General features: G+C 35.0%; 1 long non-coding RNA gene and 1 pseudogene across 1 annotated transcript in view, besides 1 other annotated feature; one reads left to right on the top strand and one right to left on the bottom strand.

The window, feature by feature from the left end:
* Positions 11 to 25,482, top strand: part of MAD2L1-DT (MAD2L1 divergent transcript) — a 100,247-nt gene continuing 74,775 nt past the window's right edge. Inside the window, exons 1-2 of the long non-coding RNA NR_187429.1 lie at positions 11 to 54; positions 16,338 to 16,384. This is a non-coding gene — a long non-coding RNA (MAD2L1 divergent transcript). The remainder of the gene's footprint in view (positions 55 to 16,337; positions 16,385 to 25,482) is intronic.
* Positions 77 to 516: an enhancer, noted in NCBI's record as "active region_21860". NCBI's record gives its function as "activates an Ori minimal core promoter by ATAC-STARR-seq in GM12878 lymphoblastoid cells {active_cell/tissue: GM12878}" and the evidence as "EXISTENCE:reporter gene assay evidence [ECO:0000049][PMID:35858748]".
* LTV1P1 (LTV1 ribosome biogenesis factor pseudogene 1) lies at positions 24,102 to 25,314 on the bottom strand (annotated as a pseudogene).

Genomic DNA, 25,482 nt, shown 5'->3' on the forward strand with positions numbered 1-25,482 from the left:
TCGCGCAGGCGCAGTTGGTGGACCTGGTCGCGCTGTGCCGGGTGTGACACTACGGTAGGTGTAGGTTAGGATGTGTCTTCTGGTCGTGGTCTACTAGTTGGGGCCGAGGGAAGAAGATGACGATTCCAATTTCAGTAGCCACTCTCTAGGCTTATGAACTGAAAGACCAAGGAGCACAATTTCCGAGTTTCAAAGATACTTTCAAACTGAAAGGAACTGTTCGCCAGCTGCTCGCGAAGTGGCCCATGTGACCCCTAGTGAACGGTCTAAACTTCCGCTAGATGCTTTGGGAATTCGTAAAGCGACTGCGTGCGCGGCAGCCAAGCCACAGCTTTACAGGGTTCGCCTTCTGTGTGGGAACGCAGCTTTTCCCGAGAAATTGGGTTAGGGATTAAAGAGAAGAACTGCATCCTTTTTACTGCCCTTTTTCCACGTCTGTCCTGGGCTTAGGGCCCTCCTCAGAGGCCAGAGGGGTAGGCGAGTCCGGGGCGGTAGGGGGCTGCGTCCGGAAGTCCAGGCTGCGTTCTGTCCACCCTGCCCACCCTTAGGGGGCAGGACAGGAATAAGGTCACCTCACCAAAGAGGCCCATCAACATGGAAGAATATTTCAGTGAATCTTGACTCACCAAGCTCAGTGACTTTTCATTGAAAAGGGTGAGAATTATTAAGGAGATATTGCACAATTAATGTTCATGTCAAGTTTGAAAAAAAAATTATTCTTAAAGCAGCTAGGAAGATATTTGTAAAATGACGCCTGAAAAACTTTCATGTCTGCCGGACGTTATATGAGAAATACTTGAGTGTTGTTAGTTTTCTATTGCTGCATAACGAATTACCACAAATCAGTGGCTTCAAAACACCTATTCGTTTTCTCAGTCCTGTAGGTCAGAAGTCTGGACGTGGCATAGTTGACGGTTTTGCTCAGTCACACAAGGTTGAAATCAAAGGGTCTGCAAGTGGGATCTCATCTGAGGTTTGGGGTCCTTCTAAGCCCTCTGGCAGAATTTCGTTGTGGTTGTTGGACTGAGGTCCCTTTTTGTCTCGCCAGCTGTTGGCCAGAGGCCAGCTGTGTGTCAGCTAGACCTTTTACAGGCCTTCTAACACTTCCCATCTTCGTGGCTTTCGGGAGCCCCCAGCCCCTTTTAAAGGCTCACCTGATTAAGTAAGACTCAGTCAGATCTCCCTTTTGATGAACCTAGTCCCAGAAGTGATATCTGCTCATATTTGTAGGTTCTACCCAAACTCCAGGGGAGGGGATTATGTAGATGCGCTCTCTAGGGGCCAGGAATGTGGGGAACTAGCTTAGAATTCTGCCTGTACAGCGTTGTATATATCATGTTTCGATTAGTTGGAAGAGTAAGGCATGGGTGTGATAGGTAACAGGTTGACTTGACCCAGTAAAATTTTTTTCCTTAAATCCTTTAATCTCTGTGTGTGTATAAATCACAATCTTTGATATGAAGAGCAATGTCAGGGAAAGTGAGGAGTAAAGAAGCAAGGGAGTTGGATATCCTTCACCCCTTCCACTGGGAGCTTGGGTAGAGCTAGAATTTTGGCGTCACGCTGGTAGACCATGGTGCCCATGTCTTTCCACATAAAAACTCCCTCTCTTTCTAAGGAATTTTATGTTAAAACTCAGCACTTTAGGAAAGGTTTTCTTGAGTTTCATGATGATGTGCTTTTTAAGTTACCTGAAGCTACACATAATTGTTAGTATAACCTGGAAATTCTAGAAATTAAAAGGCTGGCACAATTACGATTTTTCTATGTACAGAGGAAGTACTAAATATCTGTACTCTATGAGGAGACATAAGACATGAGGTTTAGAAGGAATGGTCTGTGTCTTTTGAGGAGTTTGTAGTCTACTTTGGTTTAAATATTTATACTTTTTTTTTAAAGGAAAATTGGAAGCTCATGAGTTTGGCCTTATCTGGTTTCTGCCTGCCTGGGAAGCCCCCTATCAGATTACTTTCCTCATCTGTCTGCTTCTTTCAGTAACTTGGCCCTCCAATGTTCTTTTCCACCTTAGTGCTTTCCATAATGTATATTCCTTCTCTACCTAGAAATTTCATTTTATCTGCTCAGATTCCTAATTATATTCACACTCTTTCTTAACTTAAATGTTACTTTGCTTAAAGACATTTTCCTTGGCCCTTCAGACTGTATAAGGACCTCTCTGAAGTATTTTCATAGCATCTCATAGTGCTATTTCAGAGCATTTATTTTATTGTAAAAAATTGTGTAATGGTTTGTGTTATACCTGATCTGTTTTCCTGTATCAAAAATAAAATTAGGATGAATCTAAAAGTTTATTGTCATAGAAAAAGTACAGATCAGAATCCAGGAGACTTCAAATCAAGTGGGAAGAGTGGTAAGAAGCTTGCACTCACCAGTAACAGCACAGCTTATAAGGATAAAGGAGGAAGCATTTTGAGCTTTTCCATTATTGGTCCTTATACATTAAGATTTTGTTGGGGGGTGGCAAACAGCTGTTTAAGTTGATTTGTCTACAGTTGATTGGCTTAATTTCACGGAATCATACTAACAAAAATGTAAAGCTTATGTTTTATATTTATGATTAGAGCATTTCAGGGAAATCAGGATGACTTAAGTTTTGGTTTATGTGGTTATGGGCAGTTGGTCTTGATGTATATCTAAACTGTGACTTCCATTTTTATTTTATTTTTTTTTAACACCTGTAAGATCCATGATGGCATTTAGTGGGTTCTCAACAAATATTTGTTGAATGAATGAATATTTGCTTAGGAAAGCTTTATGTAAGAATCCAAAACATTTTCTAATTGAAGAGTAGGTTGGATGGATGAATGAGGTCACTTTTAGAGAACTGTGAATACCTATCTGTGTTGATTGAATTGGAGGTACCAGGGTTTTCTAGGTTCTTAGGATTGACATAATTAAAGGGGCATTTTTTTTTTCAAATGTTAATTCAGTAATGGTTGTAGAATGGATTGTGTACAGGACAGTCTAGGTTAGTGGCCTCAAACTTGATCATGTAGAAGAATTACCTGTGTGTTTTGTAAATTCCTGGCTTTTATTCCACCTTCCCCAGAACTGGTTCAGGCCACACTTAAGCACCTGAAGTATGCTGATCCAAATTGTAACATGCTGCAAGTGTAAAATACCAGATTTCAAAGACATCTAAACTAATGGATATAAAGTATTATGTTAATATGTTTTCTAATTGATTACATCTTGAAATAATATTTTACATTCATTGAATTAAATAAAATGTATTATTAAAATGATTTCACTGGCTTCTTTTTAGTTTATTTTCAGTGTGATTACCATGACATTTAAAATTATGTATGTGACTCGTATATTTTTATTGGACAGTATTTGTCTACAGTGTGGGGTATAGAGAATGACATGTTTTAACAAGCATTCCAAGTGATTCTGATGCAAGTTCTTAGACCAGTCTCTAAAAAACAAGATACTGTGATGGATATTTTAGCCTGCAGGGCTAGGAAGTTGAGTGTCTGAAATAAATGGATGCCAGAGAGGTTGAATAAGAAGAGATACTTTAGGAAAAGACATTTTGAAACAAGGACTGAGTTGATGATTGATAATGGAAGAATGAAGCGGTAGTTCAGATAAATCTGAGGTGCCACATCTGCAATACAGGGTAGTATTTGATCCACATTATGGTAGAAAGAGCTGCCCAAACTCTGAACTCGTACTAGTTCTTATTTATCAAAGTAACACCCAAGATTCTAAAAGCTTTGGAGGGACTTCTTCCACATTAACTTTTGGGAACTTGATTTGCCATTGACCGCATCTTATCAAATACATGCACACTTATCTTTACAGAATGTTTCAAAACTTGTTTTCAGTTACTTTAACTTACTTTTCTTTATAATTCAATGAAATCTTTTTAATGTGTATTATTTAGGGGAAGCCTATTTGGACAGGGAGAAGAATAAATTAAGACTTTTTTCTGAAGAAAATTCAAGCAGAATGCATAACCAAACAAACTCATATTAGTAAAAGAGATAAGGTGTGTCATAAACAGCCCTTTATTTCATATTAAGGTGCTAAAAATAGAAACAATTTTCTAAAGCTAAAATCAAATAAAATTTTAGGTTGAAAGTGACTTAATTAATGATTAGTTGAACAACCTTAAAGATATGGAAACTGAGGTCCAGAATGGCTATACAGTTTGTCTAAGATTCAGTATCTTGACAGTGGTATAGTTAGCAGACAATCTAGGGTTTCTGACTTAGTCTCCTTTTAAATTATATCCATCTGAAGACATTCTGAAAAATGTTCTTTTTCAAAGGTTATTTTGAAAAAAAACAACGGCTTTTAGGCTAAGGATTTTTACTCAATAACCTATACACATAACTTGTCAAAAAAAATGGCAGTTATTTAATACGAACCATAATTTTATGTAGATACACAAATACTTACAACTGCCACAAGGTGGCACCGTATGCATGCGAAATACTACCTTTTAATACCAATAGTACATGTGAATGTGCTTTAGTTCAAGGAAAAATGAATTTGTTATTTTCTAAGGTACTAATATGTGTGGAATACTTCAGAATGACATGTGGAATCATAATATATTACAAAACTGGTATCCTTTTTTGTTTGTTTGTTTTTTGAGACAGAGTCTTGTTCTGTCGCCCAGGCTGCAGTGCAGTAGCATGATCTCGACTCGCTGCAACCTCTGCCTCCCAGGTTCAAGCAATTCTCCTGCCTCGGACTCCCAAGTAGCTGAGACTACAGGCACGTGCCACCATGCCCGGCCAGTTTTTGTATTTTTAGTAGAGACGGGGTTTCACTATGTTGGCCAGGCTGGTCTCCAACTCCTGACCTTGTCATCTGCCCGACTTGGCCTCCCAAAATGCTGGGATTACAAGTGTGAGCCACCATGCCTGGCCCAGAACTGGTATCCTTTTAAACATTTAATATCCTCTTAAGCATTTAGTATAGATGCACACACACACACATACTGAAAGCATACATACACAGGTTGAGCATCCCTAATCTGAAAATCTGAAATCTGACATGCTGTAAAATCTGAAATGTTTTGAGCATTGATATATAATGCTCATAGGAAATGCACATTGGAGCATTTCAAATTTTGGATACTAAATCAGTAAGTATATATAATGCAAATATTCCCAAATCCGAAAAAATCCAAACTCAGAAACACTTCTGGTCCCAAGCATTTCAGATAAAAGGGTACTTATCCTGTGTGAGGTTTTATGTATATGTGTATATATGTGTGTGTGTGTGTGTGTGTGTGTGTGTGTGTGTACACATACACCATTTAATTTGCTTCTTACTTAGAAAACATTTTTTAAAGTATATTATTATTCTCATAAACTTACAGAGTTTTTTTTTAATCAAATAGAAGTTATTTTATTCCTAAGGCCAACATCTTGAAACAGAGCAGTTTCTTTTAAATTTTATAAAACAGTAAGGGATACTTATTTTTATGATAATTTTAATAAGAACAAATTTTGAAAAAATATTTTTGCCCATATATATTTGATTATGTCAGTTTGAAAATTTGCTTTTTTAAAAAATCTTTCATAAAACTTAGTGTTATTCTGTTTGTTGTATCATACAGATTATTTTTCATTTTATGTGAGGGCAATAATTAAATCTGTAATTTTCTACTTTGATTACTTAGGGTTTATTTTGTAGATTTTTTTCATGGGCCTAAGAATTAAATTGCATAATCTACATCTCCTAAAGTCCCCTCCTCTCCCATACTTTTCTCCTAAGGCCTCTTTGATTTGGGTTTGCATGCTCAAAAAAATAGCACCACAAATTTGATTAATAACATTTTATCAATAAGCCATGGCTTAATAAAGTCAACAGGTATGTCTCCATACTGGCAGAATTCATAATTTTTAATGATCCAGTTGCATATATAGGCTATTAAGATTTTAGCTGTAGTAAAAAATACTAAATATTATTGAAAAAATAATAATTCCATAAGGTCTTGTTATGAAAATTACAGGTAGTTTTTTTTTCCAGAAAGCGGTACCATGTTATAGTATGATTTTATTTTGATATTATAATTTTATTTTGTCAGTGGTATGTAGTCACTTAGTCTTCTCATAGCTCAATCACAGGTAGAGAAAGAATTTGAAAGGTAGATGATAATTTATTAATATGTGATCTTCAGAGACTGAATATATCTGTAGGCCATATATATGTTGAATATATATGTGGGCCATATATATGTTGAATATATATGGAATATATATTATATAGACTATGTGTATATGTATATGTATAAATATATATGAAACCTGGGTGCAATCAACTGGATTTGACAGCACAAAATATTTTAAAATATAATTGAAATTCAAAACAGCTCAGAATAGTTGCAGATATGGAAACTGGCAACACAAAACCTTTGTGAAGCAATAATAAACCACAGTCCTATTAAAATGAATACAAATAAATTTAATGAGTTAAATGATTTTATAATTACTTACGAAATTTGGTCAGACATTTTATGCCTGTAGTAAATTTTCGCTGGTTTCTTCTAAATACATTGTATGTAGGATTATTTTTATTATTGCTTAATATGTAAATATTGGTGAATTCTGCTAAATCTGTCAACTCATAATAAAACTAAGGTGTTCTTTGAGTAAGTAGGAAAATATTTCTTAAAGAGTTCCATACATAAAATAAATAGACTACAAATTGGGGTCTTTCTTGAATATTTGTCAATACCATTTTATAAGACATTTGTAGGTTGAAAAAGCTTTCTGAAAGCATGAAAAATCACTTTATATTTGTTTATATTTTTCTATTTAGATAAACTCAGCTTTTTTGACTGGAACGGTTTTCTCATAACTTGCCTTGTGTTTATAGCTCATTCAAACAATAAGGTAGTCAAGCCATATTTATCAGGTTTCAGATCAGTCATGCACATTAATTCCATTATTTGTGCTGAACTTTTCAATTTATAAATTGAATATGACTTTTTTAAAATTCTTGAATAATGTACCCTTTTAACATCAGCCAACAACAACAAAAAGGCTTACTGAACTTGAGAGCTTTTGGTTTAAACTTGGAGATCAAGTGGATTAAAAATAAATGGTGTCTTTCATGATTGCTTAATCCTAATATGTTTACAAATACAGATTCTAACTTTTTGCACTCAGGTAGATGGCAATTCTCTGTTTTAAGGATCTTTCTTAATCTCTGTTACAACATCATCAAAATAAAAGAAAATTTGAAGTTTTATTTAATTAAGAATATTTCCAAGAGTATACTTGTAGACTATAGTATGAGAAACAATAGATCATAGCATTTAGTTATTTTAAAATGTATCCACAGAATTTTGAGATTTAAATGTAAAGTGTGGTTATTAATTTGTATAGTTAGACGATAAGATAGGCTCTTTTTGTTTTTGGAATTTTACATTAAGATTCATTAATTTTGAGCTATTTTAAGAATAATAAGATTCTTATTGAGTTAGTCTACATTGAAATAAGAAGAAATTATAATACTTAACTCCCAAAAGCAGCCAAAAGTACTCATAACATAGAAGATGAACATCTTCGGGACATTGTAGGTGTAGCATTCCACACTTACAATGCTTGCCTGCCTGACTTAGGAAAAAGATCAGGAGTGTGGGAAAGGCAGGTCATAGTTCTACTTATGCCCCAAGTACACTTGCCTGTACCTCCTGGGAGACTGGAACTTGTAGGGAGATTATTTGAAGCAATCTGGAAATGTGAATGCACCTTTCTCTTCTCTTTCTCAAAGGTCTTGTTTTCCAAAATAGTGTGTACTATCAGTAACAGAAAAAGTTATGAATATACTTATGTAAATGTTGGTTATTTATCTCTAAATTATAAACATTTTCCACAGTGTTAGGTATAGCATATGTGTTTAAATCATACCAGTTGTTCGAAATTAAGAAAGATGAGAAATACTTTTAAAATAATTCTGTTTATATTATTAGAAAATAAATTATTTTTACTTTCACTAAATATATTAATAACCATATTAAGATTTTTGCAGTGAATATGTTTCATTGCTTTTAAAAATCATGGTTTAATTATTTTTGAAAGAGTGGTTTACAAGTCTAATAATTCAGCTTATTTTAATAGTTTTTTTGTTTGTTTTGGGGGGTTTGTGTTTTTTGGCCAGCAGAGCTAAAAGAGATACACCACAAAGATATGAAGGTCCAAATGGAAGAAAGTACATTGTTGACTTCTTATTCTTTTTATTTACCTGTATTAGCAATTATGCAAAGTTTTTGCTGAAAAGGGATTATTAAATTTCAATTTAATGGTACCAATTAGGTGTTCTTACAAGCTGGTTAAAAAGTGACATATGATATTTTAATAATTTTAATGAATGTGTTCAAAAACAATGGTTTAAGCAGTTTTTTAACCCTTTTTTTTTTAAAAAAATATCAAAACAATACCTTCCTATTAGTTTGGGAACTAATTAAATGCATTGTTTGACCTTTTAGTTAGTTTTGGAACTAATTTGTAATTTAGAAAAATTATAGTTTAGAGAACTCTGTTTCCAAACTTTTCAATTGTACAGATGAGACTTTTTTAAAAAATAGTTTATCCAGGCCAGGTGCGGTGGCTCATGCCTGTAATCCCAGCACTTTGGGAGGCTGAGGAGGGCGGATGACGAGGTCAGGAGATTGAGACCATCCTGGCTAACACAGTGAAACCCTGTAAAAAAAAAAAAAATACAAAAAATTAGCCGGGTGTGGTGGCGGGCACCTGTAGTCCCAGCTACTCAGGAGGCTGAGGCAGGAGAATGGCATGAACCCGGGAGCTGGAGCTTGCAGTGAGCTGAGATCGTGCCACTGCATTCCAACCTGGGTGACAGAGCGAGACTCCATCTCAAAAAAAAAAAAAAGTTTATTCAAACGTGCTCCTTCCATAACATGAGTGTCTTTTGAAAAACGGAATGGAAGAATGTTAATTTTTCTGAAGTTCTTGTTAGCACAGTACTGCAAAGAGAAAGAGCCAGTAAATCTGGCACAGCTGACTTGCATTTCCTCAGGGTACCAATCATGGCCTATGACTCCCTTTTTTTTCTAAATTTTTAAAACTGACAAATAATAATTGTACATATTTACAGGGTGCATAGTGATGTTGTGGTCTATACAATGTATAGTGATCAGATCAGGGTAATCAGCCTATCTATCATCTTAAACATTTATAATTTCTTTGTGTTTCAAACATTCAATATCCCCATTCTAGCTATTTTAAACTATTATTAACTTGTAGGATGTAGTCATCCTACAAGTGCTGTAGAACACTAGAACTTACTCTTATCTAGCTGTAATTTTGTTTCCTTTAACAAATCTCTCTGTCCTCTCTTTCCGCCTACCCTTCCCAGCCTCTAGTATTCTCTGTTGTACTTTTTACTTCTGTGGGATCAACTTTTTTAACTTCCACATATGAGTAAGAACGTGACCTTCTGACATGGAGACTGTGTGAGTGTGCAATGTCAGTCCATTTTTTGAAATCCATTTTTTTAGTAAAGCTTATTTTCCTAGGTTAAAACATAAATTAAATAGAAGTTGTAACATTCCTTCCTATACTCCCAAAAGGATTGTTTTTTGCATATATTCCACTTTGGAAGCCACTGATTTTGAGGATGTTTGCAGAAACCTTATTGATTAGGGGATGAGGCACCTGAGTTGGGAATAGTAGTGTTCCGTGCTTGTCCTCTCTTCTAGGTAAATATGGAATAGACCTAGTTAGGATGGCTGACCTGCATGCCTATGTGGAAATTTGAAGTATCATTCTTTTTTTTTTTTTTTTTTTTCTGAGACAGAGTCTTGCTCTTTCACCCAGGCTGGAGCGTGGTGGCACCATCTCAGCTCACTGCAATCATCGCCTCTCAGGTTCAAGTGATCCTTATTCCTCAGCCTCCTGTGTAGCTGGGATTACATGCATGCACCATCACACCCAGCTAATTGTTGTATTTTTTAGTGGAGACAAGGTTTCGATGGTCTTGCACTCCTGGCCTCAAGTGATTCACCCACCTTGACCTCCCAAAGTGCTGGGATTACAAGTGTGAGCCGCCATGCCCGGCGTGAGCTATCATTCTTTATAATGGACTTTGCAGAACAATCCTGTAAGGAAAATACATTCTTATTGGGAAGGAGTGCTCCAGACTCTTGAACCCCATCTATTTACCACTGCCCAAAGCACAGAATAAAAGCCATCTTAGGGGTTTCAACAAATCCTGTCATAAAAGTCCACTTAGATCACATAAAAAAAAAAAACTTTATTACTGGTTGCATAATGAGGGAGTGTCATGGTCTTGTCTAAAAGAAGCAGGAATCTCCAAGCAATCTACCAACAGCAGAGATCACATGCAGATATGTCAAAAAAAGATGTTAGCCTAGCATGTTCCAGAGAAACTTCTTAGAAGCAGACTATCTGGACAATTTAAGAAGAATTATATAGGAGTTATTTTCCTTATCGGTAAAATGGATGTAACAATAGTACTTGTCACATATAATTTTTCTGAGTATTACATGAGATAATTTAAATGAAGCTTTGGCTTAATGCTAATATGTTATTGTTATTGTTTTATTATTATATTGTTACTGTTGTTGTTAATAAGACAGCTTTTCACCACTTTTCCACGCACCTTTCCTGGGTTGGTACATGTTTAGTTTAGCATAACTAAAGGAGGCTTTAGATAATACAACTTAAGGCACAGATGAGATAGAAACTCTTATAACATATATAATAATGATAGCCAACATTATTAACCACATACTATCTGCCAGGCACATTTCTATGTGCTTTACAAGAATCATTTTATTTAATCCCTCATTAGCTCAAGAGTTAGATACTACTATTACCTGAATTAAGTTACAGAAGGAAGTTGAATAATTTAGCTAAGGTCACCCAGCTAGGAGAACTGGAGTCAAATCCAAGCAATCTAGATGGTACCAGAATATGAATCCTGAAAGCATCAAAGATCTGACTATATTTTAGATAACTCTAATTTGAGGCAAACTATAGTGGGTCCTTAATATTCCTCCATCCTTGCTATGTAACTCCTGAGACCCATTCAGCAATGGAAACCAATGGAGCTGAATGGCTGGAAAGTCACAGAATTGGAACAAGGAAAATAATCCAAAAGTGGAAGAAAAGAGTCCAAAACTGGAGGAAAAGAAACAAGAGGTAGGATCCAGGGTGCAATACTGGCTCATCTGGCTAAGAGTGGATGGCCAAAAGGGGTACCCTGACTAGGGCTGCAAAAACAGGAATTTTTTAAAAATTTTGTGCTTAAAAGATCTTGTCAATTTTCTACTTAAAAGATCTTCAGTGAACTAAGAGGAGGCATTAAACAAATATTCTGGCCAAGGGATAGAATGGCATTTGAAATAGCCTACTCTTTGTCCTGCCAATTTTATTGATAGCTCAGACAAAAGGAAATGAGAATATGCAATACAGCAGGAATGTAAAAAGATGACAAATTTGAGAGACATTTTAAAAATGTGTTGAGATGTGTTTGGTTGTACTCTGAAGAACAGCCTGGGTTTTGGGGGATCATGGTGTGGAGCTGTTATACATGGAGATGATATAGATAAGTTTGTGGCATTCGATTCATTTTCCTTCAAGTGGTTTTAGGCCAGGCAAAAAAAAAAAATTTTTTTTGAGGTAATAGCTAATAAAATGACACATTGAGGAAGAAGAGGCAGTGAAGGAAACTCAGAAGAAATGGAAAAGTAGGAGGCAAATTGTGAGAGGAATGTCAGAACCTATTTAGTGAATTTGGATTAGGTAGAAAAATACTATTTTAGTAGTTTAGTAAATAATTCAGCACAAATAAGAATGACTGAGGAAGAGTCACAGATTTTGTACTTGAAAGATTTTTGGTGAACTAAGAGGAGACAATTTGGGTCACACGGTAGGGTATAAAAGTCTTTTACAAGGAGTTTGGAAGTAAGGCTAAGAAGATAGAAGTAAAAGGTTTGCAAGAGAAATGGAGAGTGGAGAAACCACATAAGCAATTGCTGGATCTTGGGAATTTTATGTTTAGGATATTTAGAGGAAAGAGAGCAAAAGAAATATAAATACTGAAGTTGAAAGTTGGAAAGGCCTAACTAATAGAGCCAGACACCTGAGGCCACAGAAAGCAATGGCATCAAGGACCCAAGTAGAGAATAAACAGAAGAGACAATTCCCTCTTAGAAATTGAAAACAAGGAAGAAGGGAGATGTGAGGATGCAGATAAATTCTCATTTTTTCTTGAAATGCAAGTAAAGAATAATCTTTAGCTTCTCAGTGGAGGAGGAGGTGAGATAGGGAAGTGGAGGAAGGGAAAGATAATGTCACATAAGTGAAAAGAGTTGGAAATTTTTTTTTTTTTTTTTTTTTGAGACAGGGTCTTGCTCTGTCGCCTAGGCTAGAGTGTAGTGGCGCGATCTCGGCTCTCTGCAAGCTCCGTCTCCCGAGTTCATGCCATTCTCCTGCCTCAGCCTCCCGAGTAGCTGGGACTAGAGGAGCCCGCCACCACGCCAGGCTAATTTTTTGTGTTTTTTAGTAGAGACGGGGTTTCACTGTGTTAGCCAGGATGGTCTCGATCTCCTGACCTCATGATCCGCCCGCCTTGGCCTCCCAAAGTGCTGGGATTACAGGGGTGAGCCACTGCGCCACGCCAAGAGTTGGAAAGATTTTTAAAGCAGCCATTATGAGGAGTGGGATGATAAGTCAATGAAGGAGAAATAAATGGATATTTGTTTTCCTAAATAGATATTTATTGAGTACTATTTATCTTACAGTGCGGTGCTGTATGGATGCAAGAGGAAAAATCTAGCTGGGAATCTAGTTGGGGAATTATTACACAAAAATAGCTGCACATAAGAAGGTACAGGATGAGAAACAATTGAATGTATGCAGTAATTGCCAAACAAATTCAAAGATAGCAAAAGAAATATTCTTGGAGGATGTAAAACTTGAAGAGTTATAAACATTTTCCACAGTGTTAGGTATAGTATATGTTATAAACATTTTGAAGAGTACTTAGAACTTGAAGAGTGCTTAGAACTTAGGCAGGCAAAGATGGGTGTCAATTAGAGGTTTAACGGAGATGATTAAAGTCCAGTCTGGACCATAAAGTAAAGGTGGGGATAAAAACCTTTATAGGTATAGATGTGTAGAGAGAGGACGTCACAGGCACAGAACTTAAAAATCTATGGGACAAAATATGGAAGCATCAAATTAGCTCACTTTTCCCCAGGACAGAGTCTTCATGTGATCAGATTACATCTGGGTTCTTTTTCTAGAGAGCCTTGTGTGACAGGCTAAAAGTTTGGACTTTTCTCAGGAGACGTTAGAGAGACACTAAAAGTTTTTATAGAATTATATTGGGGACAATATAAAGTTGTGTTTTAGTAACGTTACTGTAGCACAGGTGAAGTACAGATTGGAAAGCTATAGTGACAGTCCAGGTCGAGGCACTTAAGACTTCACTATTTTAATTATCTTCACTATTTAAATTCCAGTAAGTGCTATAATTGCCAGGAAAATCTCTGGTTTTGCCTCATTATCATAGATTCATTAATTTCACCTTTTTATCCATCTTCCATATCTGATGATTTTTAGTCCTTTAATTCTGCCAAATTTTCAGTCTTCTCTTTAGCTCCGGTCCTTTCTTGACCTCCTCTGTTTTTCTGTGCTCTTTTTTTGTATGAACTTTTCCTGTTTTCTGTTCTGAATTTATTCAGAGTAGACCTGCACACTTCAGCTTCACAATAGGGAATTCCAATAAAATGATGATGCTGTGTGTCATTCATTTCCTAATGTTACTGATATATTCCATAATATTTGCTAAGCTTTAATGGTTATTAATGTTTTATGCTATCCTATTACATAAGCTCAATAAGATTTCTGATTTTTTTGGTATTATGACTAACCGGTGAGCATATTAAATTCAGTGTGGTTGTATTTGTGAGTGGAAGATAAGGATAGTAGCACTTGTAACCCTATAAGTTTCTTACCATTTTACTAAGTTTTCACTCAATTTTAATTAAATTTGAAAGTCTTTAAAATTAAGGTCAGAAACTTATGTATTAGTTTGATCTTGGTGCTTTTCTTAAAATATCAAAATATTAGTGCTTATTTCTATCTGGATAAATTGTTTTTCTATTTAATTATCTATTTCTGCCATCTCTTGTAGTGACTTAGTTTCCAAAAATGGTGAATATTAAAATATATAAGGTGAAAATATATAAGAGATGAAGAATGAATAGAAAGAAATCTAGGTTCTGGAATATGGCTATATTTACACAAACATAGTATGTTTCTGAAACCATTTAATCTATAACAACCTTCCTTTAAAAGCATCATTATAGCAGTTTCTTGAAAGTATCTTGAAATTATTTTTATGTTACTTAAAAAAAAGTTACTTAAGGCTTTAGAAAGTAGAAATTCTGAGTAATTAATGCTTAATGCAAATTTTACTGAAGGCAATAAGAAAGCATCAAGTAAAATTGACTTTTTAATTATAAATGAAATATTTTATTAATGATTCAGTCCTGCACTTCTGCTTGAACACTTCTACTTGAAAGTTTTTTCTTCCTTTTTTCCTCAGTGAAAGAGGACAATTGAACTTGGTTTTAACTCAAGAGTTCAAGAAGGGGTGAAAAAAATGAATAGAAGGAAGTCTTCATTCTGGAAAGGGACTCATTTTGAAGTTCAACTAAAACAGGCTGTTTTACAATTTTGAATAGAAAATTATATCTTCATAATCATCTTGATTATTTGATTTACAGTGTAAAAAAGCATAATGTTTCTTACAGTCCATAAATAACCACTTTTTTCAAGCATGACAGATTAAGTGAAAACAAAGGGAGTGAACAAAAATGGGAGGGGGTCATGAATCTATCTGCCCTGAGGAAGAGGGCAGTACTTTTGGGGAGTGCAATTTACATGAGCATCTGGGTCTTTTGTCATGTTTTGGATGGATGACCTGAGTCTGATATATTGGTGAATAGCATTAACAAAGGTCTGGTTGTCAAAGGCTAGGAAGAAAAATGCAATTAGCCACAGCAATGAGGTGATGTCTATGTTTGGGGAAAAAGAACCAATACCTAAATGGCAATGGAAAACACTGGAATGATACCATTAGCAAAAGGCCAGATTTGTGTGTGTGTGTGTGTGTGTGTGTACCTATTATGTAGTCATCTTCACTCAGTGGGATATGGCAAAAAAACTCATTTCTTTGTCAATGTTTGACTTATGTAATGAGAACAAATATGTATCTGTTACTAAAGAAAAGACCTGGTGAGCTCAATGAATTTGTAACTCATAACACACTAATTTCACCAACCTAACATTTGTAATTCTGTTTGTTTCTATTTAAAGAAAATTAGAATTAAATAAAGAGCATTGGAAGCTGAAAGAAGTTTGCTCTTTTTTCAGTCTCATTTTTTTTTTTTCTATAAACCATGCTATCCAGCGTAGAGAACCATATCTAATCTCCCAATTAGGTCAGGCCCCAGGATAATCAATCTCCTTAACAGCAGATGCCTTGTTTTAGCAAATGAATGCTTGATTTCAAAAGAAGTTTTGTGTTGAGAGAAGACTGCAGTTGGCATGGGTGATTAGAACTCTTTTAAACCCTATAAAAAGCTTCTGTAGATTGTTTTATGCCCACACTTTGTGAACTGAAGTAAATGCTGTATATATTTATCTTCAAATGAACATGGTGGGGACTTAATACAGTCTGTGAGAACATCTATATGCATATAAATGGAACTATTTACAGTCTAAAATATTTATGTCCATTTGAATTAAACTATGCTTTTGATAAAATCTAAAATGAATTTATATATTTTGAGTAGGTGCTTTCATGTTTATTCAGTATGCTCCTTAATAACAATAACTTAATTATTACAGTAGCATTGTTTGAACTGAAAATATAATGACAAGTTCATATGATTCTCATATTTGTTGTTTGGATTACCTTTACATTAGTTTATAAGTGCGTTTCTTCCTATCTGATGCCTGTTCTGTTCATACTTGCAATTTGTGTTAATGGGCAGTGTGTGAGATAACTCTGAAACCAGAAAAAAAATATAAAATTAAATGTTATAAACAATGTATATTAAGTCAAAATAATAGATTGACTTTAATTTGCTCGAATCTCATTTGATCTAAGATAAATTGAAATATAATGAAATAATTTTCAATATAGTATAACTTAAAACAAAAACCCTAAGCCTCAATAAATTATTTTAGGTAATCGTTGTTCAGAATCTGATTGCTGGAACTTGTCAGTGATACCTGAATACATAAAACACTTCAGGAGGCTACATAAATACCTATTTCCTTTTTTAGGAGAGCAGATTACATTATCAAAAGCACCAAGTTGAAACATTTGCAAGGTAGGTGAGAAAAAAAGCATTCGTCAGCATATTTTGGATTTTATCATTTTGACTTTATTGCCTATGGTCAGTTCTGCCAGTTTTTGTCTCCTTCTAAAAATTGTTTCAATCTGCTGAATCTATGGAAATTTAATATTTTCCATAGTGAAGGCTGATAAGACATCTGAGGAAGAATTAAAAACAGATGATCTCTAATTTAAGAAACATTTGATGCTAATTACTTCTTACCTTTTCACACAACTTAAATATTGGTTAATATATAGGATTACATTACTTTTTAAGTGAGATTTTAAAGCTAAATTGATAAAGTAGAGATCTAGTGAGATAATTAGATGTTCATACAAGATTTGAAAAATACAGACATTCTTAGTCACACAAAAATACCAAAAAGCATTGTGATAATTCACTTTTTCTTATTCTAATTTGTAACAGCATTTTAATATGGTCAGTAGAATGGCTTCAGCATATTTACAATCTTAAAGTTTTTAACTAGAAAACAGTTTGATGTATAGATCTGTTACTCAGCAACATTTTAGATTTAAAACTTAATTTAATTTTATAGCTAATTTAATTTTATAGCAAATTTAATTGTATAGCATGTAAGGCAGTTTACATTTGATTTAATAAAATTAACACTTAGGCTTTTATGATAGCTTTCTAACTCAGGTATCAGTGATTTTCAGAATGCAGAGATTTTCAAACTGAAATTTTTTTTGTCATGATGCTCTTGTGGCTAAGTTTATACTTGGGTTATTTCTTCTTTACACACACACACACACACACACACACACACACACACACACACACCCCATAATATGAAAAAATAAAGTCTGAAAGAAAATATACAAATACATTACTATTTTTTGGACAGTGTATAGATTTGAGTGATCTGTAGAACCTTCTTTATTGTATTATACAGGCTTAAATTTTTAATGATTACTTTATAATTCGGTAGAGTATAGCTATTTTCATTTTCAAAAACATATATATGACAATCCCAGTATAGGTGATACATTGTTTTCACAAAAATTTTATAATAAATATTGACAATAATTTTTTCCTATCCTCTTGAATCTGTAAAAACCTGCCAGAGCAAATATCCTGTTCTTTCCTTGGCATTACTAATTTGTTCATGGTATTGATATAAACCACTCAGTGGAAGTTACAGTGTAATAACTGTAAACTGCAAGGGGTATGTTATGCTTAAAGGATCCCAGGAATGATCCAAGACAAACCACAGACATGGTAAACAGAAATTATACCTCTGCAGGATCTTAGGACTCCTCTACACTGTTAACAATTATTGAAGACCCTTGCAAAGAACTTTGTTTATGCAGGTTATGTTGGTATTTATCATATTAGAAATTGAAACAGAAAAATTTAAAAAATATTTACTAAATCATTTAAAAACAATGAAAACATATTACATGTTAACATATGTAATATAGTTTTTCTGAAACAAAATAAACAAATATGTATGTATACATATATAGCGAGAAGAGTGGCACTGTTTTACATTTTTGTAAATGTCTTTAATATAAGGCTTAATAGAAGACAGCTGAATTCTCTTACCTGCTTCTGCATTCAATTGGATGCAATATGGTATTTTGTTTAAAGTAAAATCTGTCTTTACACAAATATGTAATTATAGAAGGAAGGAGTATTTTAATAACTTTTTCAGTTGATTGTGGATATTCTTTAATATTACAGTGAATCTCAACAAATGATAGTCTGTTACAGATTAGTTGCATTGTGAAATCTGAAACCATATAAATCAACTTTTCAGACTTTTGAACCTAGCCTGTTTCTTAAGGAAGATTTCTGAAAGGTGTCTAACTTTTGCTTTAAAAAAATAAATTGTAAAATTTAAATCATAGTAAGACAATCTCAAGCACATTCTGAAGGATATTTTAAGTTTACTTTTCATCAAAGTTACTTTATAAAATATTCAAGCACTGCTTAAGTCTCTGATCCTGATTTCTTAATGTTTAGATTAATTGAATTTAAAGTTTATTATTTATTAGATGTTCTAGCTCTTAAAGTCTTTGCTTTGTGACTTTCTGGAGGTAAGTTTTTGTATATTAATTAAGCAGATGTAAACAGCATAGGAAAAAATAAAGGTTTGATTAGTGATTTTTTGGCATGGTGCTCCACTATTCTAGATTTCTGTTAAGTACTAAAGAAAGTAATTTCCAAACAAAACCTTTGCTTGAGCTTGAGAACCGAAATACTGATTTCAAAAAAAAAATTTTTTTTGTTTCAGTGGTAACGGTTTATTACCAGAAACTAAAGCCAAAATACACATTTTATTTTAAAGACACTCAAATAGTATGTCAGACATTGTTAAAAATAATTTAGAATGTTCTCACGTATTGCTTTTGATGATGTTTCCTTTCTTTAGTAAACATTTGTACAAAGTGTTGCAACAATTAACTGATTATAAGAACTCTGTAAAAATGCCTTTTCTTTCAAAATTGAGGTCTGGTTATTTCCTCTACCAGACCTCTTTTTTGAATGACAAAAACAATGATGTCATTCTTTACTCATAGGTCAAATAGCAGTACTAGAGGCTGTGGCTATCTAGTACATTCAACATCCCAAGGAAACCATCCTTTGCCTTCTGCTACTGTCCCAGAAGAGATCAGGTTCCCCTATTGTGCATTCTCATCTCTGCCACATTGGATTTCCCCTTGTTGCACTCAGTTTGGTTTATAATTATTTATTTGCACAATCAACTGACTAATGTCTGCCTCCCTCATTACACTGTAAACTCTAAGAAGGAAGGGTTTGAGCCTGCTCTTTTCACCATCATATATCCAGGACCTAGGACAGTATTTGACACATAATAGGAACTCTGTAATACTTGCTGAATATCTGAATATAAATGAATACCACTGAGCATTTGATGGACTTTAGATTCTCCAGAATATTTCTCTGCACCTTTTATGAGTTTCTTCATCCTTCTTGAAACTGGCTACTCTGATAAATCTCAGTTCTTGTGTTTTTTCCCACCTCCTTGACTACTTCATTCTTGCCTTCTTTCATGTTTTTTTTTTTTGCTTTAATTTCCAGTTCTTTAAGGAAAGCATGAAGTTCTGTCTTGCCCTTTACATTTATTTTTTACAAACTATCTTTCAATTAGTCATAACCTTTGTGATTCTCAAGTTGAAATCTTGAATGTCCGTCTTTCCCTCAAACTGTGGCTCTGAATCTTTGAGGTATTACCTATATACTTCGACCAGATGTCCATCCTATTAAACTGAATAGGTCCGTGACTAAATTTGTCATTTCCCCTACTAAACCAATAATCCCCTGTGCTTTCCTGTGTGTCCCAGCAGAATTTCTGCTCTTCCTACTTTTGTGTTCCTTTATATTTGCTTTCCCTGAGTCCTATCATGTCTCTCACTCAGGGTCCATGTCTTCATCCCAGTCACATTAGCTCACACCGTGGCTATCTTGTTTCATTTCTCTCCTGTTGTGGTGGCTTTTACACTGCCCCTCTATATTCTGGCCCTCTTGGCTTTAATCCATCCTATGCACAGATGGGAGAGTAACCTTTCTCAGTCATTTTTTTAATCACACAATTCTCTTTAAAACTTTGTCAATGGATAATTTGAATATTACCTGGATAATTGATGGTATTAAGGAATTATTGCTAATGTTTTCAGGTTTGAAAGTGGTATTGGGCTGGGTGCGGTGGCTCATGCCTGTAATCCCAAGGCAGGTGGATCACTTGAGGTCAGGAGTTTGAGATCATCCTGGCTAACATGGTGAAACCCTGTCTCTACTAAATATACAAAATTAGCTAGGCGTGGTGGCGCATGCCTGTAATCCCAGGCTGCGCCTGGGAGGCTGAGGCAGGAGAATTGCTTGAACCCGGGAGGCAGAAGTTGCAGTGAGCTGGCATCTTTCCACTACACTCCAGCCTGGGTGACAGAGTGAGTTTGACTCCATCTCCAAAAAAAAAAAAAAAACCCAAACAAGAAAGTGGTATTGTATTTAAGAAGAGGTCGTTATTTTTATATATACATACTGAAATATTTATGAAAAATTGATATGTCTGGAATTTGATTCAAGTAATATGGAATGGGAGAATACAGATAGGAGTATAGATAAGGTGAGATCGGCCAGAATTGTTGTTTATTGGGACTAGATGATGGGTGCATGGAAGTTCACTATACTTTTCTTTACAATCTCACACATTTACATTTGAAATTCTGCATAATAAAAAATAAGTCAATCATTTATTTCTTTCAGTGCTTATAAAATAGAATCCAGGCTCTTTATTTAGGAATTCAGAGACACAAACCAATCCTAGTCTGTGTTTCCAATGTCATTGGTCAATGTCACCTACATATATCCTCTGCTGATGTGACAGACCAGCAGAGTCTGTTGGTATGTGTGACCATCTTTCTCCAGTAGTCTGCATTCCTATACACTTCTTACCACATGTACATTGACTGCAGGATTGCTGTAAGTGTTATAAATACCACTGGTAATAGCTCTTATCCAATGACAAATTCCACAACTTTTTTCTCCCTTGAGTGGGTCCCCCAGAGGTCTCTAGTGGAATTGAATCCTAGTTACACACACTGATAAATAATCTTTACCACAGCCTGTGTTGCCTTTCCTTCTTTCCTTGTCTTTTCTTTTCTACTGCTCGTTCCAGGGTCAGTTTACATCAAGTCTTAATATTAAAGTCTGCTTTTTGGGCAATTCCAATGTCACTCAGCTGCAAAATGATTCCATTCCTGACTCTTTATTCAAGTCAGTTTCTTGGCAGTTATATTAGTCTGTTTTTATGCTGCTGATAAAGACATACCTGATACTGAGAAGAAAAAGAGGTTTTAATGGACTCACAGTTCCACGTGGCTGGGAGCCCTTACAATAATGGCAGAAGTCAAGAAGGAGCAAGTCATGTCTTACATGGATGGCAGCAGGCAAAAAGAGAGCTTGTGCAGGGAAACTCCCCATGATAGAACCATCAGATCTCATGAGACTTATTCACTTTCATGAAAACAGCATGGGAAAGACCTGCCCCCATGATTCAATTACCTCCCACTGGTATCTCCCACAACACTTGGGAATTCAAGATGAGATTTGGGTGGGGACACAGCCAAACCATATCAGCAATGTATACTTTCTGTGTCTCTTTCTTCTCTGCCTTCTCTTAAATTTTAAAACAATGCCAATTGTGGAAAATTATAGAGAAAACAAAAACCTTCTGTGATCATAAGACTCCAGAGATAAACCTTTTCTTTAGTCTTTGCGTGTGTGTGTGTGTGTGTGTGTGTGTGTGACTGCAGTCATCTGACTGCTTGATAGGGACCGGGGTTTCACTTCCAAGATGGCTCACTCATGTGGTTGTTACTGGGACCTGTTGGATCCTCACTGGCTTTGACAGGTTTCAGTTCCTTGCCACATTAGACTTTTTTCAGGACACCCTGATTATTCATACAAGATGGCAACTGGCTTCCATCCAGGGAAGTGATTCAAGAGAAAGCAAAGAGAATATAACAGTGCCTTTTCTGACCTAACCTTCAAAGTGGCATATCATTACTTTTGCTATATTCTATTGGTCACACCAACCAACTCATATGCAGTGTGGAAGGGGAACATACAAAGGTGTGAATATCACAAAACAGGGATCATTGGGGTGTTTTTGAGGCTGACTTGCACAGCTGATTCATAGTGCAGAGCTACTCTGGGGGTTTTTGAAGACGTTCCTTAGGGCATATTAAAATCAATATCCCTGACTCAAGACACTACTTTTTAAATGTGCCAGGACTTGAATAGTAGACTATACCACCAGTGTTTGACTTTCTATTTTCCTATAATCCTTTTAGGAAGGTCAGTTGAATTTTTAATGAAGTAACTTGCTTATTTTGTTTCTTTTTTTATCTCATGCAGAGATAGTGCTGTTTGCTGAATCTGAGTTTTTGTCTTTGTTTGGGGCCCAGACGTGGTTTTCTAACATTCTTTTCTAGATTCTGTTCTGTCAGTCTTCTCATAATAAAAGATATAAAAGCGTTCTAGGTTGACCAAAGGTATCATACAAATCCTATTCTACTTCATCATCCAGACAGAACCAGACTAAGTCTATCTGTTTTTTCATGGCACCATTTTAGTAGCAGCAGCAATAGAAGTAATAGTAGCTGTAGTGTAGTAGTAGTCATAGCAACATAATAGCTAATATTTATATGGTTTTAGAATGTCTTACCTTCCCTGTACTTTCTTAGAATTCTAATTTCAGAAATATTGTGGATCTCTTCCTCAGGACACAGATAATAACGGAGTCCGACTTATAGTAGCTGTGTTACCATGTAACTCACTTAATGGTACTTGAAATGTCTTACTTACGGTGGTCTTTCTTATAGTGCCCTAGTACCTATTTCCAGTCTTTCTGAATACAATCTATAGAGCACTGATAGGTATACTAAGAGCACATTTCTCCATTGCTTTCTGCATCTTGATTCCTTAGGTAGTTATTTCAGTCTGTTCTTAAATATATTGCCACTCTTTATTAGATGTCTTTGGGCATAAATCTCACTGTCTGATCTGATAATACTGATAAACCATCACTGCTTTTATCTAATAGACTCATTAAAAGTAGTAGCTGTTATACTTGGGTGCATCTCTTTTTTGCCTTTTATATCTATCTAGCCTGGCCTCTGATCATTTAATTTCCCTTTTCACCTATATCTCATCTGTTTTTTAAGAGCTCAACCTTTCTTCTAGTACTCTCTGTTTTATGATACTGTCTCCCTTTCTTTGTTATTATTCTCAAACTGCTCCTGTTCTGCTGATAAGACTCTAGCATAATTTTCAAATCTCTCCCTTTCCTTCTTAATTTCTAGAGCATCCCTGATGTCTAGACTCAGAATAGTCTAGGAACAATGCTGTTAAATTGCTTTCTTACACATTAGGTTGCCTTATTTTCAAAGTTGTTTCTCTACCTTAAAAAAATGATATATTCTCTTTATAATAAGAGCCTTCTCCATTTTTATTTTCTCATTGTTAAAATATATCACCATTCTCTTGGTGAAATAAAAGTTTAGGTCCTGAATATCAAAAACTATCATGAGAATTTGTGTATCAAAGACAACTTGTGATATGGTGATGAGGGGGTATCTCTTGAAGCCGTAGACAAAGCTACATGATTCCAGAAGTGACCCCTTTCACACATTCTTCTTTGGCTGTGAATATGGTTTAAAACAGAATAAGAAGAAAAATGATTTGGAATAACTCATCTACCGCTGCTTATCAAGGGCCTACATTAAGAATGTAAAGCTAGAACTCTACACGTTAGTACTGTCGACCTTCTGGAGCTCTGTTACCTTTGGATTTTTTTTTCAAGTTCTGAAAATATTTTTTATTAATTTGTCCAGTTATTTTATTTTCATTAAATCAAATTATTTTAGAGCTAATGTAAGCTTAGCTTACATTCTAATTAAGGTTATATTATAACACTAATTTTAATGTCAACATTGAAAATTAAACATTAAAATAACATTAATACAGAAATTAAAATAAAAATATGAAAATATGTACAAGAGGGTTAGCAGGAAAAACTTGGTAAAGAATTAATTTAAATACCGTACTTTCTTTTTCAATACCCATTAGTAAAAAATGGCAGTAAAAATATTCTGGTTCATAATTGAATATAATGAGGAGTTCCTAATGGGGAATGTGCCTTTTTCTAAATGTCCCATTGTGATAACTTTAGACCCTCAACATTCTTCTTCAGGTTCAGTAGTTCATTTTCCTGCCTTCTTTTCTCTAGTTTGAAGGTTCATTTGTTAGCTTTCTTCTCCATTCTCTTGTGCTCTTTTACAGCTTGCTTTCTTTCTCTTTTATTTTCTTTGCTTTCATTTTTAGAATGTGGGTTGATACCCTTTGCAGATCCCTGCCATTAATCATCTGCACATATTCAATTTGATTTGCGTTGAGTTCTTTCTTTGGTAAGCCATTGAGAGATATTCCTGTTTCTCATTTTTGGATTTGTTGGGCTTTCGTTGATGCTGGATAAACTAAAGATGGTTATATAAATGTGAGCATGCACGGCAAATGGATTCTTCATCAATTTGCTTTTGCTTCTTTTAGAACTATAGGAATTATCTCTACCTCCCCCAACTCATCAATCTCATTTACTGGCAGACAATTTTATCCTCAGAGGCTTAAAGAGTATTCAGCTTTACACAATTTGCTGCCTTCTCTTTGTATCAGTCATTCAAAACTTTGTGTAAACGATTGCTCAAGTAACTCAGGTCCACTCTGTCTATGTGAATGAAACCCTCCAATTTGTCATCATCCAGAGCTACAATCTTAAAATCATCATATTGTTCATAAAAGTTCTCAAACTTCTCTTTTTATAGGGTCAGCTACTCTTTTCTTTTTAGGACTCAGGAAGTTATATTCTATGAAATGACAACACATTTCCTCTTCCTTAAAAAAGTGGCTTTCTATGACTTTGTGAGATTTTCCCAGGCAGACAAATAATCTTCATCTGAAAATGGGCTTTGAAAATCAGTCATTATTCCTTGCTTTCACTTTTTTTTTCTCATCCATAATCCATTAACTATCTAATATCTTTCTCAAACTCTGATGTAAACATTGATTAAGGCAAATTAATTTCAGGGCCTGGAATTACAAAATTCCTTCTTTCTCATCTCTTTTCCTGCATGTACTGATGTGTTTTTGGGAATAAGGGGAATAAGCACTGAGGGCCCAGATGGTTCTTTCAGATGCTTTAGGTAGTCACAACCATCATCAAAAACACTTCATAACTTCCTCTGTTTTACTCACCTTGTTTATCATTTTTTTTAATGTGTGGACAACACAACTCCTCTGGGATACATTGGTATCTGCTACTGAAAATCTCTTTGACTTGAGTGGACCATGTGAAAAGACACAGTTTTCTCGTCTATAAAGGTCCCCCTCCCCAAACTCATTCTGCAACTGTGTAGGGCTTCCCCTCAAAACAGCAACTATATACCTTAGTGTCCCAGACAGAGCAGGTAACATTACATCCCAGGAGTGTACAAGGACCAGTTAATAGCCACATCTTAAGGCCTTGCCACAGTGCTGCCTTTGGATTT

Source organism: Homo sapiens, chromosome 4 (assembly GCF_000001405.40).
Source record: "Homo sapiens chromosome 4, GRCh38.p14 Primary Assembly".
Classification (NCBI taxonomy): Eukaryota; Metazoa; Chordata; class Mammalia; order Primates; family Hominidae; genus Homo; species Homo sapiens.